The sequence below is a fragment of the Homo sapiens genome, chromosome X, assembly GCF_000001405.40.
Source record: "Homo sapiens chromosome X, GRCh38.p14 Primary Assembly".
NCBI lineage: Eukaryota > Metazoa > Chordata > Mammalia > Primates > Hominidae > Homo > Homo sapiens.
Window position 1 is genome coordinate 97,530,695 of NC_000023.11, and position 20,492 is coordinate 97,551,186.

A 20,492-nucleotide genomic window follows, 5' to 3' on the forward strand; every position below is an offset into this window, starting at 1 on the left:
TTGACATTCTCATAGACTTTTAAATTAGCATGATTTTTTAAATTACTATGATTAATAAGTTTGAGAAAATAGATGACAGTATTGAGAATCTCTCCAAGGAACTGGAATCCATTAAAAAATAATAAAGAGGTAGGAGGACAGTGACAATTAGTGAAAACTGTTTCAATAAGGAAAGAGTAGCTGATACTGACTTATACTACAGTGAGGTCCTTTGGATATAGTAACAAGGAGCACAGGTACTAAGAAGTCCTTTGGGTTTCATAGGTAGATCGTTGGTGAGTGCAGGTTCAGTGGAGTGGTGGGTAAAGAGGCCATGATGGTGATAAGGTCAGATTTGAGGTGAGTAGGGAAGGTGACTATGGAAACATGAAAGGTATGATGGGCTTAAAATTTTGGTCCATTAATTTGTAGTGTCATAAATCTATTATATACGACTCTTTAATTTTCTCTAGAAACACTCATCGACTTGATTAGAAATAATAGAGATAGGTTGTATTGTTCTCCTTCCGTCTTCCCCCTTTCCCATTCCTTCCTCTCCCTTCCCCTTCCTTCTTCCAGTCGTTTTCCATTTTTACTTCCTTTTCCACTACTATTTTACATTATTTTTCTTTATTCTTCTTTCCTTTTCTTCCTTTCTTTGTTTTCTAATAGAAGAAATAGAAATAACATTTGTAGATTGAGGAGAGAGAGCTTGTATATTGAGAGACCTCGTTAGACTCAAAGCATGCCATCATAAATCTGAGATATTTAGAATATGTATTCCAGTAAAATCGGCTAACTAACTTAATTTTTACAGACATAGCATACATCACAGTTAAAATGCCTTTTAGAGGCCCATTCTGTTTTACAAGACCAAAATTAAATGTATATATGCTTATATACATACTAATGTTTATCTGTTATGTGCACATATCTGTGTGCATCCATGTATGTAACAACTCAGTGTTTTACTGAAGTAAATTTTTAGGATTGAAAGAAATAGGTTTCTCTAGTTGTATAGACTGCTTATGAGAACATTACAATTCGATATGTAGAGAGATGATGATTACAATTTATTAGTCCATCACCATTTGGAACAATAGATGGCCAAATGTAATTAACCATTGAAAGAAATACATTTTACGTGTCCTAAATTTCATTTCTAATTACTTGTAACTGAAACTCTCTAGAATCTTAAAATCCATTTTGTCTTATGAAAGGCTTCATTGCTTATCCCTGTTGTTGCACTATTACTTTAGATTAGAGTAACTTCATTTTAAAATTACATGTCAAATATAATTTGCTATTAGTAACGTGGAATGTGTGGCTTCACTCTGAGAAAAAAGCCTGTTCAGCATTTTTTAATATCATATACCTAAACAGAGCTTCCACGATGATTAGATCACATCTGGCACAATGTAGATCTATTTGTACTTGCATAATGCATGTGCATGTACACACTGTGATATTTTACGACTATTTGGGTACATTGATTTTTCTATAAAGAGAACTATTATCCACATCTTTTTGCACAGAAGTACACTTAAATATTGGCATAGGTAAACAACTTACTAAAATAAAACTCGTGCTTGGCACAACTATTACTGGTGTCACAGATTTTACAACTATAATATTTCTGAAAAGCTAGCTTGAACGCTTTGGAACATTTTTTTCTGAGTGAATGCAGAGGCAGTTTGGTGAGCTGTAAAACTTCTACTTTTCATTTTGTATTCTAGTCTAGGCCAAATCTTAAGTGTCACTAAATCTGATTCTATCTTGAATTGTGGCCCAGTGTCATCCCCAGAAGGAGGCTTCTCCCCAGCACTGGCTAGGTAAGCAGCCTATGTGAAACAAAGGAAGCGGCTTTGCCAGCAAGCAACTATTAAGAATGGGAAAGAGTTTGAAATAGGCTAACGAAATGCAAAAAAGTAAATCCAAAGTCCAAAAGTAGAGGCAGCTTTAACTCTGCACTATTTTTATCTTGTGATCCTGTTTGAAGAAATGTCTCAATTCATTATAACTGAAGTAAAAGTCACTAGCATAATATGGAAACAATCTTAAACTGGTAAATATTCCTTCTCCTTACTTAACATAAAATAAAACCCATATTAAGATATTAGTTCCTCCTCGTCAGCAGGGGAAGTCTCTGTATAGACTGTCTGAGGACATGGCAGTTGACTGACACTAGAGTGGGCAATCCCAGAGACTGGAAATTGATGTCAAAAAATTTGGTTTTGCCCGCTCTGTTTAATCTGTAATTAGTCAAATTTAATCTTAGTGGATAAGGTATCTGAATTGGGTTCCCAAAACTCATCTTTATTTCTATTTTTTTTTTTACATTTTGCAATAATTATGAATATTTTGAATATTTTTGAATTTTGAACATAAAAGTTGCAAGAATAGTACTTGGAAATCCCTGTATACCCTTTGTGCAGATTCACCATTTTAAACATTTAGCCACATTCATTTTGTTATGCCTCTTAAATTTTTAATACTTCAATTACTGTTTCCTAAGAGCAAGATTATTCTTGTAGGTAACAATAGCAAAGTTACCAAATTCAGGAAATGTATCATTAATGTAATACTTCCATCTAATCAACCATCCATGTTCCAATGATGTTAACTGTCTCAGTGATACCTTTTATAGCATTTTCTCCTCCAATGCAAGATCCAGTCCAGAATCACACATTGCATCGAGTTGTTATGTCTTCTTAGTCTCCTTTAATGTGGAACAGTTCCTCATACCATTGCATACACTGTTAAATATGAAGAAAACTGGTCAGTTATTTTATAGAAGATTCCTCAATTTGTATTTACCTCATGATTAGATTCAGGTTATGTACTTCTGTCCTAACTACTAGATAAGCAAAGTATGTCCTTATGGTTCACATCTGGAGGCACAAAATGTCTCTCTGTCCCTCACTGGTAATGTTAACTTCGATCATCTGGTCAATGTGTTGCCTGATACCTTCATTTTATAGGTATTATTTTCTCTGTTTCAACTAATAAGCAATCTGTGGAAAGACACTTTACGACCATGTAAATATATTGCTCTACATCAAACTCCCCCTCTAGCCTTAACTACTATTGATGATTCATTCCTGAACCAATCTTTACCACAACAGTTGCATGTCATCTTGTATTAATTTCTTTTGGAATGAGAAGAAAAACAATAATTTACTCTGGTAATTTTCTGAAGAATACCGTTGATTTCCTTTGACAATGTTCTAATAAAGGAAATTGCTCTCTATGGAATCGTAGTGATCTGTATCCTCTGAGTAGTTTACTCATTCTAACTCAACCAAAATGAGCAGAAATTAAAAGCAAATGATTTTTGCTCTAGAATCAATACTTATGTTCACAGTCAGTATATATGCTCTGCAACAAGTTGTACTCTGGGTATACATATACAAAATTTCAGTGTTGCTTAAAAAAAAAGCATTTTTATTGACTTAAATGGAAGAATTCTATAGTTTTTTAACTACTTTAGTTTTCTGGAATTTGTTTACTTTAAAACTTTTCAGCCTTTGCTTTTCCATCTCTTTAACAAATTATCACCTCATTCATTTAGTCATGTTCTATTTAATTTATATATTTTTATTCTTTTGCCTTTCCACATTGCCTAAATCCTTGTGGCTAGGATTACTTAAATTTTTCTACATGGTTTTCATTCACCCCCATTCTTATAAATTATGTGTATCATTTATTTACTAAATATCTTGGTCATGTTCAAGAATTGAAGATGAGAGTTTTCAGTTATCACATTGAAAAAGATTAAAATTTATTATATACATATAAATATTATACTATAAAAATCCTTATGTAAGTTCTGCAAATCAGTATTTTATATATTTAGTGAACTGCACAAAAGGCAACTTCTATTCAGTGTAATAACCCTAATTTTATTTCTTAATTTTAAAATTTTAATCTTTTCTACTTAACATTCTCCATAAATAGCTTATTGTAGTGTTACAATGAAAGAAAAATTTTAACATCCTCATGAATCCTGACTACTTAGTATATACATATGTAAGGTGAAATAGGTTAAATAGCTTATGTGACTATTTTCTAGTTACTTCATTAAGTCTCTAATGCCTTTTGGATAAACAAAAATGATGAAAAGTAGGTCAATTGGCTACCTCAGCCAGGTGATCAAGATCAACATCATTAGAGATAGTGATAAGACAGGTAGATAATATGTTCTCTTCATGCAATGAGAATGGCATTTTGCCTCTGTCTTCCCCGAGAACATATAACCCCAGTCTAATTATGCGGAAATTGTCAGACAAACCCAAATTGAGGGACATTCTACAAAATACTTGACCATTACTGCTCAAAAGTATCAAGGTCATCAGAAACAAGGAAAGTTTAAGAAGCTGTCACAATCTAGAGGAGCCCAAAGAGATGTGATAGCTACATGTGATGCTGTATACTGGCTGAGATCCCGAAACAGAAAAAGGATAGTATGTAAAAACTAAGGAAATTTGCATAAAGTATGGACTTCAGTTAATGATGACTTATCAATGTTGGTTTATTTGTTTGACAAATGTAGCACACTAGTATAAGATATTTACAACAGGGGAAAGTGGGTACAGAGTTTATGAGCACTCTTATACTATCTCTGCAATGTTTCTTTAAACCTAAAATTATTCTAAAATAAAATTTTATTTTAAAAGATATGTGTATTGGGAAAGTTAAATGTTATATGAACAGTGATGTTGGATTCTTAAAATCAGAAAGTCCCTGAAAGTATACCATAAAATGTTTTTTTTCTAATTGTATTTATTTATTTTTTTGAGACAGAGTCTCACTCTATCGCCCAGGTTGGAGTGCAGTGGCATGATCTCGGCTCACTGCAACCTCAGCCTCCTGGGTTCAAGCGATTCTCCTGCCTCAGCCTCTCAAATAGATGGGATTGCAGGCACGCGCCACCACACCCAGCTGATTTTTATATTTTTAGTAGAGACGGGGTTTCACCATGTTGGCCAGGCTGGTCGAACTCCTGACCTCAAGTGATCCACCTGCCTCCGCCTCCCAAAGTGCTGGGATTACAGGCGTGAGCCACTGCACTCGGCCAAATGGGGTTTTTAAATACTTGGTAAAGAATAGATCATGCCCAAGGTCACTATCATCTAGCTTTATATTTTTTAAATAACAAAGTATACAAATATATACTGATTATTGTTTCAAGTACTATATGTTATAGAGAATAAGAATAGGAAGTGATTAAAAGACTATGGTCCCAGTACATGGTAACATTGGTGAACACAATTTATACAAACAACAGAGAATAGAGTCTTCATTCCAACCTTTTACACATCCTTAGGGAAAGTGCTATGTAAATGATACAATTGCTTTATACTTCATAGGGATACCACACAAAGGGAACACTTTTAATATCAAAGGATTCTAAGAATTTCAAGAAGTTTACTAAATGAGGAATTAGAGGAAGATGCAGGTAAGTATATCATAAGGAAATATAATTTTAAAAGCTTATCAGTGCTAACTCAGGCTCAGCTATTATAATATGTAGCATCTTATGGACAAGGACAAAATAAATCTCACTGAAAACTTAAGACCATTTTTCACCTTGAAAACTCAATGTGGAATTTTCCATGAAGAGCCCTTGTCATCAAAGCACTCAGATATAGTATTGACCATATGAAGCCACACTAGTACTTCTGGCTCATTGGAATGAAAATATCATATGAGTCAGCTTTTAAATTTTTTAAAAATTCTATTATTCTGATCTTAACACATTATTACTACATGAAATTTATCCTCAACATTTTGACTAGCTCTTTTTAAGTAGACTATTGTACAGGTATGACAAGTATATTAAAATACACATAACAATTTCATATTTGTATCAGAGTATATCAAATTACCAATGTCTTCAAATATTCCATGCTAGAAATACCTGTTTGTAGAATTTCTGTACTGGATCACTTACCTCTTCTTTCTATAGCATTTTGGCTTCACACCTTTCTCCCATAAATCCAACAGTTCAGTTACACTTTTTTCAAGTATGTTTAAATATTGGATTGAAAATCATGTACCCTGAAACCTCATAAAACTCTGTCACCAAAGAGCATGTCATCAGATTGAGTGGGATACAATACAGACCTGGATTATATAAAAATTATACGAAATTGTACACAAGCAATTAAGTCTAAAATACATTTCTTTACTGCTGAATTATAAGCACGGTATTGTGCTAGGTACTGTAAGGGTTGAAAATAAGCTGAATAAACCATAATCTCTGTTTTCAAGGACCATATAGTTCATTGGAGGAAGCAAACATATATATTCACATATTTTTATTACACTATATATTCATATTTCACAATAGAGGTAAAACTGAATTATATGGACATATGGAGGAGAGAAGGATTGAATTTTACTAGGGACATCTCAGAAGCATTAAGGGCAGAAAAAGTATTTGAATTGGGCCCTAAATGAATGCAGGAAACGTCAGTAGGTAAAAATGGGCTAGGAGGATAGGGAGGTATTTCAGATAGAGGGGGCATAAAGATGGAAAAGCATGCAATGTTTACAAGTAGCCCAGTGCAACTAGAGTGAGAAGTCAGATCCTGGAAGGCCAAATATATGACTGGGGAGTTTGAACATCATTCTGTATTAGAGGTTTTTGAGTGGTAGAATTTCAAAATCCTATCTTATATTTGAATGTCTATTGGGCAATCATGATAGACGGGAAGAGACAGAAACCACTTAAGTGATGCTATAATAAGGCTTGAGTTTATTTAAGTAGATACGTTCACTTAATTTTAACAGGTTAGTTAGGTGTGGTAAACAGCCTCTAAGATAGTTCCGAATGATTCCTGCCTCCTGGTATTCATGTTCTTTGAGTTTGGGGTTGGCCTAGTGACTGGCTTCTAACAATAGAAGGAGAAATTGATGGGATGTCCCCTCTGAGATTAGGTTATAAAAAGAATGTGGTTCCCTTCCATCTTCTGTGCTCACTCTCTGTCTCACAGATCATGAGCTTCCATGTTGTGAGGACACTTAAGCAGTTTATAGAGTGGGCCACATGTCCAGGAAAACCTGGTTGCCAGCAGCCATGTGAATGGACTTAGAAGAAGGTCTTGCCCTGGTTGAACCTTATTTGAAATCGAAGCCTTGATCAGTGGCTTGACTATAACCTCATAATAGACCTTGTGCCAGATACACTACTTAAGCTAAGACTAAATTCTTTTTTTTTTTTTTTTTTGAGACAGTCTCGTTCTGTTGCCCAGGCTGGAGTGCAGTGGTGCGATCTCGGCTCACTGCAAGCTCCGCCTCCCGGGTTCACGCCATTCTCCTGCCTCAGCCTCCCCAGTAGCTGGGACTACAGGCGCCCGCCACCGCACCCAGCTAATTTTTTGTATTTTTAGTAGAGACGGGGTTTCACCATGTTAGCCAGGATGGTCTCGATCTCCTGACCTCGTGATCTGCCCGCCTCGGCCTCCCAAAGTGCTGGGATTACAGGTGTGAGCCACCGCGCCCAGCCAAGACTAAATTCTTGACATATAGAAACTGTGAGGTAATACATATTTATTGTTTTAAGCCATTAAATTTTGCCATAATTTATTAGGCAGCAATATGTCATTAACAGAAGTCAAATCCAATATCTAGCCTGGTTTATCTTTGTACTAAATTATTGAATATTTTATTTCTATCATTTCTATACATAATATGGCTTAAAGATTACTGAATTATAAATAAAATCTAGAATTTTCTCCATATTGCTTAGTATAATCTTAACTATTATATTGTGAAAGCTTTGTGATCCCTTGCATTTACAGCTTTTAGAGAAATGAAAGATACAGGATTTATATGTAAGAGAGGTCTTAGAAACCTATTTTGAAATTAAACATTTTTAATATTTTCTGTTAATCCTTTTTAGGAAAAAAAAATTTGTTTATAAAGTTTTTACTAAAGTTAAAGAACACTAACTTTATGGATTCACTGCAGCTTTGATAATGAAAAAACTACTGGAAAAGAATTAAAGAAGTTGCTAATCAGTTCATTAATCAAGTGTATCTGCTGCACATTATACTGAAACAAATTGAAAAGGATGCTGTGCTAGCCAGAAACTCCCTCTCAAATAAAGTCAAAAGTGAAGATAAACTAAATTGACTTTTCGTTTGTGGTTGATTTCTATCTAAGTAGATCCATCTCTAAAACACTGAATAAAGAAAGTTGCCCCATACATAGATTCAAGACTCCACTAGGATTCTGTATCTTAATACTACTGAGAATAACTTGAACTATATTTAATCAGTCTGTCTTTAGTTTTTGTTTTTCGTTTTGTTTTCATTTACAACCCACAGACCACTTTCATTTTTAAATGTTAAATATACTTAGAAAGAAGAAGAAAAAAACAACATCACCTTGCTCACTGCATTAAGACAACTGGTTTTGTAACCCGATCAAAAGAATTAAATAGCTTTCTATATAGCTTACCCTCCCACAAAATCTTTCAATGCACAAAATATTTGTCAGTGGTCAGAATGATTCCAGTCCATCCCACTCTCTGTGGTGCCTTAACTATAAAAATGGCAGTGAGGCATTGCAGCTTGAAAAAAATACAGTCAGATTTTCAATTATGATTAGAGTAGATCTCCCAGAGAGGTCTCCACAGAAGGCCCAAGGTTCTCTAAAGGGTAAAAGGAGTGACAAAATTCTGACATAAAACAATGTAGTCTTTCCTCTCTTTTCTTGATACCGACCTTCAAATATTTTGGGGTTTTTAAAAGCCAAATTCTAGAAGAAATTGAAGGTTCAAAATTGGAATTCGCTTGAGTTTCATTAGGTTTAAGCCAGATACCAGCCTATGTCATTTTCTAAAAGCAGAATAATTTAGTTTTAAAGCAATAGTACAAGACGAACAAACAGGTACCTGGCAATCACATTAAGACTCCCTTGGTGTAGACAGATATGTATAACTTCTTTTGACAGGTTATTTTGTTTATTCATTCATTTAATTTTGGCACTTAATTTTAAAAGAGCTTAGAAATCATAGTCTTTTGATAGATATAATTGGTATGAATCTGAAATCAGTAAACTAAGATGCATAAGAAATGTAATTTTCTTTATTTTCTTGTAACTGAATTAATTCTATCTTAAGACCCTATTCTACTGGAAGGTACCATGGAAGATAAGAAAACAAACCACAAAAAAATACACAAATTTATACTTACTTCACATACTGTCCCCACCATGTTATAAGGATATAATACTCATCCATTAAGACATGAGTTGCATGTTTACCCCATTATAGATTATTTAGGATTATGCTGAATTTACAAGTGAAGGAAATGAGCAAAGAAATGCCACTGGATAAACAGTGTTTTGCTTTCCAGAAGCATTAATTTAAGTGACTGGCCCATGATTATCCATCTGCTCTATCAGTGAAAGATCCCTAAAGACAATGCTTGTCTTCTATCCTTGTCATACTCAGTACACTGTTCACATTAGCAAGTATTTGCCCAAAATTGCTCAATTTGGGATACAGAATAGAAATATATGTACAGTAGTGAGTCACTGATAGGATCTGAGTGAAAATTTTTTACATTTTTTTAAGGCTTAGATGAATGGACACAGTTTTCTATTGTTTTGTTTACCTTTGTCTGGTTTCCCTTCCCACCCCCATGCACGTGCTCATGTGTGTTTAATTAAACAAAGAAGAGTTCCAGGAAGTTGGGAATGTCAAATGGGAACAGACACCTTCGCAGGAGCTGAGAAAATATGCTATATCATTTATCCTTGTGGAAACATGCAAACCAGATTTGAATAGTTTTTAATTGATTTGCAAACTTTGCAGTAGAATTTTCTGGTAATTAGCAACTTGCTGAGATTAAGTGAAGTCATAGTTAGCTTCACAGTGGTTTAAATCATATTTCATTGTTTTGCATGTTTTAAAAGTCATGTTGTAAATTAAAAACGCAAAGAAAAAATCACCAACTTATTAATAGAGAATTGATCATTATGCAACCAATTAGAAGATATAAATAAATATACAAATCAATCACGTATAAAATGGTAGGTGCTGCAGAATGTTAACACTGTACAGGCAAGTGCTTGACAAATAATAATGAGCTATAAAGATAGACTAGAAGCAAAACAGTAATGTGGCAGCTTTGTTGGAAATATTTTCTAGAAATGAAGATGCATGACCTTCCGTACCTTTGTTAATCATCAGTTATAGATAGTTAAAATGTTATATTTACAATAATTCTGTGACTTTTAAAGTAATTGTTTATACAACTACATTGAGCTTACTAGTGGCAGTATGTTCATATGTACATGTGTCTCTCTTGAGCTCTCAGGAGAGAGAAAAAATCTGAGGAAGTGCTAGCAAGCATAAGCAGGGAGATAAGAAAAATAAACTATCTTATAAGTACAATAAAAATCACCCATGCCTCATGGATAACCTAACTTCCCAATTAAACATGACGTTTCCTCCAAAATATTAAGCGACAAACTAGAATTCTGTTTCGGAAGCCAAGGAAATTAAAGAAAAATAGAGTCAAGGGTTAAGTAGAAGAGAAGAGACTTAATTACATTTAGCAAGGGTCCCAATCCACTTAGATACTTACTAGGGTACTCAGCACTTGTTCACTGCAGCATTTGCATTTAGCACTTTTAAAATTGGGATGAAATGAGTTTTATAGATACTAGAGGAATCATTATGAGATCACAAAGAAGTACTGTGATACCATAACTGAAGCTAGGAGAAGGGAAAGCAAATTCATATCACAGAGGAAAGCAAACTTCCATCCTCTCAAGTTATCTTTCCAGTCAACATTGCCGCATATCACATATGGTGTGCAAAAGGGGACAGATTAATGAAGTACTCAACAGGAAGGTATAACAATCCAAAATATGTCCTTTGTGACTCTCTATCCATTTCTGCCATATTCCAAGGAAATGCAGATGTATCTTCATTTCTATGCCATGATATACTTGGGCTGGGAATGGGGGACAAACCCAGAGTGATTGTTCTCTTTTCCTGTGTTCATAGTGTATATGTGCACACACATGTGAGGGTGAGCCTACACCTGTTCATACCCCATGGCAGTCTGACTTCACTGATTACTTTCTAGAATCTTTTTTCCTTTATGTGCCCTGGACAAGAGAGTGGACAGGAAACATGGTAACAAAAACAAAGATAAACATCCTTCTATAATTCTAAAGAAGCATTTTTCTGTTTCCTCCTAGGAGAAATAAAAATGTATAATTTAAATTACCAATTAGGATCATGTTGGGCTTTAAAATTTTTGGGGGGTAAATTGTATGAGGGTTGCAAAAAAGTCATGCAGAGAAAGATACTGAAATCTCCTAATACAACATGTTGAGAAGAAAGTTAATGATCAGTTTTTCTGGTAGTTTTTGCATATAAGCCTACTTGGAAGCACTGTGTAGGCCTAACTGACGTTAGTGAATCAGCAGAGAGCTGATTTGAAATGCATTATCCGATAGGCATGAGATTAAGCAGTTTGATAGGCATCTTAGAGCTGTTTCCATGGCCTTATTAATTTGTAACAGTTGTGTGGTAAGTTATGTCAACCTCCCAGTCAGAAAGTCTTCAGTAAGTTTTTCAGGCTCCAAGTTGAGGGATGGGTAAGACCCTGGGACAACACCCTAGTGGAGGCTTATAGGAGAGTTTAAGCATTTCTGAATGCTTAAATTCTGGATGCTACATTCTGGATGCTACAGGCCCAGAATTCCACACTAAAGTATTTGTTTGGAGAACTCAAGTATATTATGGGTATCTTATTTGTATTATGTGTAAGTAAATATCAACATAGGTTTGATCATTTAATCCCATATCCTGATTTTGCTCTAAGCGAAGGCAGTTATTTGAGTGCCAGCTCAGAAAAGGTAATTCACTATTACCTGTTAAGTGTGATGAAACAGGACTTCTCAGCATATCTTTCTTGATGGTATTTTAGGTTCAAAGCTGATGGATTAGCTTTTTGCCCTTTCACACATTCTACCTATCAGTGACACCATGGCCAAGGGAGACAATCCAATTCACTTCCCTGACAGAATTGTGGGTGATGGTTATATCATTACGTATCCTGGAATGCAAGACTCTGCTTGTATTGATCTTAAACATATAAGCTAAACTCAGTAGCAAAAACATAACCGATATATGGTGGGGAAAACGACAAGGGAGTGTTTTCTAAACCCAAGAAATACTCAATAAATAGGCTAAGACCAAGATGAAAAGTGCAAAGAACCAACAAGACAAGAGTAGAAAGAATGCGGGGCTCAATAAATGGTATTATTCTCAGAAAGTATATTCCATTATCTGTTGTTGTAGAACAAACTACCCAAAACTTAATGGCTTAAAATCATTGTTCACGATTCTGCAATCTGGGCTGGCTTCAGCCTGGCAGTTCCTGCCACTAGTCTCATCTGAAGTCACTCACAAAACTGCAGCCCATTGGTCCAGGGTAGTCCCATTCATATGTTTGGTGGTTAGTTGGCAATGTCAGCCCAGCATTTCAAATTTCATGGCTTCTCCAGAAGGGAGCTCAGGCTTCTTACATGGCGCATGTAATGTTCCAAGAAGTCAAGAATGGAGACTACACAGTCTCTTGAGTCCTAGGTCAGAAGTCACACATCATTACTTGTACTGCATTCTGTTGGTCAAAGGAGTTCACAAGGCCAGCCCAGGTTAAAGGGGTAATGAAATGGATTCCACCTCTACATGGAAGAAGGTGCACATAGTATGTGTCCATATTTAAAATGTCACAGAATTTACAGGAATATGAAAATAATCATGGCAAATGTGGTGCATTCTTAGGAAGAATTTTTTTTTCTTTTTTCTTTTTTTGAGACAGAGTCTCACTCTGTCGACCCTGGGCTGGAGTGCAGTGATGCGATCTTGACTCACTGCAACCTCCACCTCCCAGGTTCAAGTGATTCTTCTGCCTCAGCCTCTCGAATAGCTGGGATTACAGGTGTGCACCACCACACCCGGCTAATTTTTTATATTTTTGGTAGAGATGGGGTTTCACTATGTTGGCCACGCTGGTCTCAAACTCCTGACCTCAAGTGATCCGCCCACCTCAACCTCCCAAAGTGCTGGAATTACAGGCGTGAGCCACCATGCCTGCCCAGGAGGAACTATTTTTAATGTCCACCATTGTATAGTGCTCCCGGTACAGCCTCTATTTAACAATTTTTAAAATGTCTCTACATATTTTGACTCTCTTAAAAGTTAATAATAATGAGAAATATTTACATTGTATTCATTCAATAAACAAGTACTATGATTTCTCTATCGCGCTCAGATCTATCAGAAACCTTAAATGTAAATAGATCGTTTGATGCTTTATTATAATAATTGTTAAACATTCTTCCTAAGTGCATTATTGACCATTGATAGAAAAGAAATTGCTTCATGTTATACTTATTCATCAAAAGCACAAGAAGTGCCCTTCCCTGTCAAACTCCTTCAATTGTCACCCCAGCACTTCACTAGAGATACAAATAATAGCACATGAAATTGTAGCTGGAAGGGAAGGGGAAGACTGGTAAGGCTTATTTAAATTGCATTCCAAGCATAGAAAACATATCTTCTTTCCAAAAAATGAAAGCTAGTACAATATTAAATCAGTAATATACATACTTAAAGGCATATTATTTTATGTGATATGTTAACCATGACATAGAGTATCTCAAACCAAAGTGATTCAATTGTCATTACCATCAACAAAATGAAACTTATAAGTGGATTGTTAGCAGCCTCTTTTTAGTTTGTTGTAGAGTGTTCCTCTAAAGAGAGGAGAGGCCAGAAATCATCTCAGTACACAGACACAGTGTTGCTGCATCTCCATTTTTCCACACCGATTTTAGTCTTGATATTACTTCCCTGTGGAGGCTGTCTGAAAGCTAAAAGCCTATACAGAAGTAACTTAGGCCAGGTCATTTTTACTTACTAAAAGTCAGTTTTCCTATAACATGTACCACAAGATGTTACTTTAACAGTTTTGGTTCAAGGGTCACCAGACTGTACAGACTACCAGAGCTTCAGCAGTGGCATTCTTTCAGGTGGCACTCTATAAGTTGTCTGAATCATTGGGTTAACATTCTCTTCATGTTTTCATCTTAGAAAGGCAAGTTAACGTATTTTTAAAGAGGTTTAAGAAGGCTTAAGAAAAAGTAAACTTTTTTTAATGCATTGAAAAAATAATTTTACAATTTATTCAATTCCCAGAGTTTTTATTACAGACCTACTATGTACACAAGCATGGTGTACCCGGCAGCTGTGAGAATAGCAAAGACACAGCCTCAGCCTCCCAAAGTGCTGGGATTACAGGTGTGAGCCACCGCACTGGGCCCCAGTAGATCTTTTCTGTGTATATTTTCCCCTACTCCTCTCATCTACCCTTTACTCCATCCTAAGTGAATGATGCCCTTTTCTCTGACTATATCTTACCTTTCCTACCTCTATGTCTTTGTTGATCACTTTCACCCTAGCCACTCTTCAAGGCTCGTTTCAAACACAGATTTCTTCATGAAGACTTTTCTCCTGAATACACACACTGCTACCTCAAATCCAAAGCTATTTCTCCTTGTTTATCTCCCATTGCACCTTAATTCCTCTTTGGGCTAGAGTTGTCTCTGTATCTTGTCTCCACCATCCACCAAATTTTAAGACCTGAAAGTAGAGACATCATTTTGTTCTATCTCCTAACATACTTTGCAGTTAATAAGAGGCAAAATAACTGTTTAGTTGAATTAAAAATGAATGTGAGGAAATATTGTGGCCATCTGCTAAAATGCATAGGTAACAATGTTGGAAAAGAAGTGGCTCTTTTTTAAGTTTGATGAAAAAAAAAAAATATATATATATATATATATATATATATTCTTAAAAAATTAATCACTTGTCCAAGATTTAACAGCTAAACTAACATTTACTGTATGTTCATTATTCTGCATAATATGTTTCTCATATATGTAAAAGCACATTATTTAGTCAAAACTATCATATTAAATTTCTCCCGTAATTCCTAAGGGCTGTCAGCTGCTCATTAAATCTTGATTTTCTGTCAGGAGGAATTAATAATCTTGCCTTTGAGTGAATTTAGAAGCAATGAGGGATTGAGCAGGAATATTTGAATACCCTCTCGGTGGTAAATTGGATATCCAATTTTCAACTTAGTCTTAATGGGAAAAAAAGAATAAATTGAATTCAGAAGCTGTTCTTTACTTTTTAATATTTCCTCCCCACTTTTAACTGAGTTAAAATGGAAGGGTATAGTTCTTTCTCAGTGGTGGGGAAAATCAACTTTCATTCACTTAGAAAAGTTTGTCAAATTCGAATGAGACTTAATATATGGACAATCTATATGACTAAGTCTATAAGGTGATCCTTTGGAAATCATAGGAAAATTCAGTACAATAACACAAAAATTGATTTGCATGAGGTTTAAATCGTGTTTTTCTAAAAGCAAGGAATCCTGCTCCTCCCTCTCCCCAAATGAATTTTGTTGTCAAATACTGGTACTAACAATTATTGATATCACAACTCAGTCTCTAAAAGCAAACTGTCCTATTATTACCAGAGAGGTGCTAACTCACATTAACCTAATAATATATAGCTCTTAATTTTCAGTTTTCATCTTTCATCATTTTTTAGCTACTCATGTCTTAGATTTAAAGTCCCTTAAAATTATAAAAGGTTGAGAGACTGATAAACAGGCATAAAACCTTGTAGATTTTTTTCCCCTCCACTCTTTTTTTCTAACTAAGCTACACAGTACCATCACGTACCATCCATCAGTACATTTAGCTGTCATGACGCTGCCAATAGAAGTTGTCCATCCACTAGGCAGTATAAAATTACAATCACGATCTTCGCTGGGAGTGGCAGCTCACGCCTGTAATCCTGGCACTTTGGGAGGCTAAGGCAGGTGGATCTCCTGAGGTCAGGGGTTCAAGACCAGCCTGGCCAACATGGCAAGACCTCGTCTCTACTAAAAATACAAAAATTAGCTGGGCGTGGTGGTGCATGCCTGTAATCCCAGCTACTCGGGAGGCTGAGGTAGGAAAATCACTCGAACCCAGGAGGCGGAGGTTGCAGTGAGCCAAGATCGCGCCATTGCCCTCCAGCCTCGGCGACAGAGTGAGGCTCTGTCTCAAAAAAAAAAAAGTTACAATCATGTTCTCAGTGAGGCAGTAAGGTGGAAGAGTGTATTTCTTTCTGTGTAGTATGACTATATGACCTCATGTGTGTCACTCACTTGCACTTATTTTCAAATACCAGGCAGCAGTTTGCTTGAAGTTAACTATCTGTTTTATCATGCAACTTAAGAAGAAGTTGTAACACATGCAACTCCAAATTATTCTTATTCATAACTCTGTTCTATAGTAAGCATTTGAATATGGATGCAGCTCATGTGATGAGCATCATTCTACTTGACATGAAGGAATGAGATCCAACTGCGAGGACCCCAGTCAGAAAGAGCTGAAGGCCCATTGATGCCTCACCTTTTCTCCCTGCTTCCCCCACTCTTGCTAGGGATCATTGGCACCACCACTCAGACTGATGGTAAAACAAGAAATTGTCTTCTGTCTAGCTCAGACACATCACTTGTCCAACTCAACCCCTGCTTTGGGTACAGGAAGTTTTAATCTGGTTAAGTTGAATAGAGTTTGTCTTCTAGCTTTTGCTGTGCTAAAGCAAGAGAAGTACAAATGTCAACAAGCAGAATAAGAAGAGTATAACAAGAAATGGTAAGAAGTCAAGGCCAAAATCTAGATACTGACCTGTGGATAATTGAGAGGTGTCAGCAACTCTCTTCTAACATCAAACAGACATAATAAAAACCTAACAAAAGATGTTGAAGTCTGACCAGCATACCTCTTACTTTGCATAGGTGCTGTTTGGATTTCTATGCAAGCCTGTGCTTAAAATCAGCCTTCAGATTGAATGTTGATAACCTTTCCTTTTTTACATGCCTCATTTCAGTTTATGGCATTCCAACCTTTTCTCCCTCGTGACGAACACTTTTTTGTATCAATGTGAGGCAAGCTCTGTCAATTCATCTAATCCTCAAAGAATTTTTGCAGAATAAGTATGATTATCCCCATTTTATAGATGAAGAAATCAAGGCCCAGAGAAGTTCAATTAGTTGCCTAAGGCCATACATCTGGCAAATGATAGAGTTAGGAGTTGATCCCAGATCTGCCTGATTCTGAACCCTTTGTTTGATCTTTGTGTTGTTCCATATCATTTCCCTATTTAAGAAACTCATTTATATTTGCACTCCATAAATATCAAGCCTGTCGGGACTAAGTTGTAATGAGTTCAGCATCAATTCCTGTTTACTGGTCTGGGCTAAACAGTGCTGATAGTAATGCTCATGTGACCACTGGGAAAGGTCCAAGTTCATGCTCTAATATCTGACAACAGAAACTACTCCCTTCTAGAGAAAAGAGCAGACCTGAGGATACCTTGTGCAATCCAAAGTCAAATTCCCTATTCATTCATTCATTCTTATTTTGTGTGTGTCTCTCTCTTTCTCTCTCTTGTGCACCTATGCACACACAATTTTTGGTCGATGCACAATTTTAAGGTCATTTTTAATCTAAAGAATTTGTTCCCCTCTTCTTTCCTGATTACATGGCCATACAGCCTGCCCCAAACAGTATGACTCACTCTCCATGACTCTTCTGCGGCTCTTTGTTGTGAGTTTTCATTTTGTGCCTCATTTCTGAATATGCTCTAAAGAGCAGGGATGGCCTTTGGCTAGAAAGAATGGCATGTCAGGAGGGTTCCACAAGCCATGTTGCTTTTCTGAATCATGAAAAGGCATCAGCACTCAGTGACATGGCCCAGTTTTCTAATCTAATTTAATTGAATGTACAATGATGTGGGCACTGGAGATTAAATACAACCCCACTTCTCTGCAAAGTTCACATTGCCTTTAAAGCAATGTAATATTTTTTTCATTTCTTATGAATGGTTCTGTGTATGTGTCATGTATACTTTTACTTGTATTCTCTGTGCAAAGTGATACCTTAAAAATTATCTGTAAAAAGTCTAATATAACTTGGTCTTCTGGAATATGGCCTGATTTAATTAATTGACCAATATTACTTTAAACCATTATATTGCAGTGAAAGTTTTTTCTTGTCACAGTAGGAACTAGAGACGTGTCCTAACAAAGTACTAACTTATTTGCAACTGATATAAAGTGAATTAATATATTTGTTACTTTTAAAAGAGAGTGTATTTTGGAATTTTGCAGTTATTTGTATATTAAGGCCCACATTAAGGGCCTGCCCATTTATAAAATGACGGGTAATTTTCCCAAGTGCTGATAAAATATTTTATCATCTAAATTTGAAAAGAAAAAGAAACTAATTTTAAAACATTTCTAATTTATAACATTTTGTGACTAACTTACTTTTTATTTAATTTATTTCCTTTCATTCCCCTCACTGTGATCCAATTTGTAGACAGGCAGGCTTGCTAAATAGCTTCAGCATTTGGGTTTGATTTACTGTGAAGTAGATCTTAGAAATTAAAGTTTCAGGTTGAAATTTGCCTTTCAGATCTCCTTGCCTAAATATACATGTAAATTTGGGAGTAATCTAACATGTGCATAAACACATTCAAACTATTTTATAGCTTTAAAAAAATTATATTGAAATAATTTTAGACCTACAGAAAAGTTACAAGGTTAGTCCAGATTTTGATACCCCCTTCACCCAGATTCCCCAAATATTAATGTTTTACTGCATTTCCTTTATTAATCTTTTTTCTAGAAACACATACACACATTATTTTTTTCTGAATGTTTCAGAATAAATTGCAACATGATGCCCCTTCACCCCTGAATACTTAAGTGTGTATTTCTTCAAAATAAGAACATTCTTTTGTATAATAGTACATTTATCAACATTGGTAAATCAACATTGATAAATTACCACTTAATCTATAGACTTTATTTAAATTTTATCAGTTCTCCCACTAATATTCTCTATAGTAAGAGAAAAAAAATCCCAGCCCACATGTTGCATTTAGTTATCATGGCTCTTCAACCTCCTTTAATCTGGAACAGTTCCCCTGCCAAAAATGCATATCCTGAATCTAATCATGAGGAAACATCAAGCAAATCCGCATTCTACAAGATAATTTACCTGTACTCTTTAAAAATATTATAGTTTTTAGAGCTATAGTACATCTCCAAGTAAGCACATAGGCATATCTACATTTTTAATTTTCTCTAAGAAAGAGCAACAATTCAAAATAATCCCCAAGTATGTTTTAAAATAAAGGCTTCTTTTTGAAAGTCAAAGACAAATGCTCTTAGCCTAAGGTTTCATTTAAACATAGAATGGCTATTTCAAAAAACAGTATTACATAAAATATGGGCTGGGTGCAGTGGCTCACGCCTGTAATCCCAACACTTTGGGAGGCCAAGTCAGGTGGATCACCTGAGGTCAGGAGTTTGAGACCAGCCTGGCCAACACGATGAAACCTTGTCTCTACCAAAAATACAAAAATTACCTGGGTGTGGTGGCGGGCGCCTGTAATCCCAGCTACTCCGGAGGCGGAGGCAGGAGAATCACTTGAACCCAGGAGGCGGAGGTTACAGTGGGCCGGGATCCTGCCACTGCACTCCAGCCTGGGCAACAAGAGCGAAACTCTGTCTCAAATAAATAAATAAAAATAAAATATGTATTATATAAGTTAGGGACAATCTGGTCTTTCATATATAGACTTCAGACAATTGGTTGTTCATTCTGGAGTTGAGCACTATTTCTCTCATGGGCTCTTAAGCTAAGAACATTTAGCTACATGTCGGGTATGTTTCTTACATTCTGCCTCATGACCATCTCCCACTGCCATGCATATGACAAAGACACTTAACTCTGAGCCCCAAATCTAGAGGAGAGATCTAAATGTCACGTGAAGTTCTTAAAAACCTTTCTTCTGAGGAGTTAACAAGGGATATTAGGAAGATTCCTCTGCCCAAAAGACCTCCCAAATAACCTCTGCCAACTCAGGCTGCATTAAGTTAAACCAGATCTGTCTGTAAAATAGAAATGAGAATAGCTAATAATATCAATATTTCATACCTTTATTTTAACTACTCTTCTCTGGCTACTTTGTGGGTTGTGAGGGAATGGAACATTTTACTGAGGAGCCAGGTGAATGAAAGAAGACATGCAGAGCAAGAGGTCTTTGGTGAGAGGGCCTGTTTGAGCCCCTACTCAAGGGAATTAGGAGTAGCATGAGGGCCCTGTATATCCACAGAGGACATTCATTTTTAATTTCCTCTAAGAAAGAGGAACAATTAAAAATAATGCTTAAGTATGTTTTTAAAAAGACTTTTTTTTTTTTGAAAGTCAAAGAGAAACGTTGTTAGCCTAAATTTTTATGTAAACATAGAAGGTGATTTTAAAAAGCCATTAAGGAGGCAGGGGAGAGGTATGAAAAAATAGATTGAAGGCCACCTACTTTACAATTTTGCCTGGTA

At 35.7% G+C, this 20,492-nt stretch overlaps 1 protein-coding gene and 1 long non-coding RNA gene across 2 annotated transcripts in view; one reads left to right on the plus strand and one right to left on the minus strand.

Moving 5' to 3' along the window:
* Positions 1-20,492, plus strand: part of DIAPH2 (diaphanous related formin 2) — a 920,156-nt gene that overhangs the window by 845,853 nt on the left and 53,811 nt on the right. The window lies entirely within an intron of this gene.
* Positions 1-20,492, minus strand: part of DIAPH2-AS1 (DIAPH2 antisense RNA 1) — a 36,172-nt gene that overhangs the window by 2,331 nt on the left and 13,349 nt on the right. Inside the window, exon 2 of the long non-coding RNA NR_125391.1 lies at positions 2,618-2,735. This is a non-coding gene — a long non-coding RNA (DIAPH2 antisense RNA 1). The remainder of the gene's footprint in view (positions 1-2,617; positions 2,736-20,492) is intronic.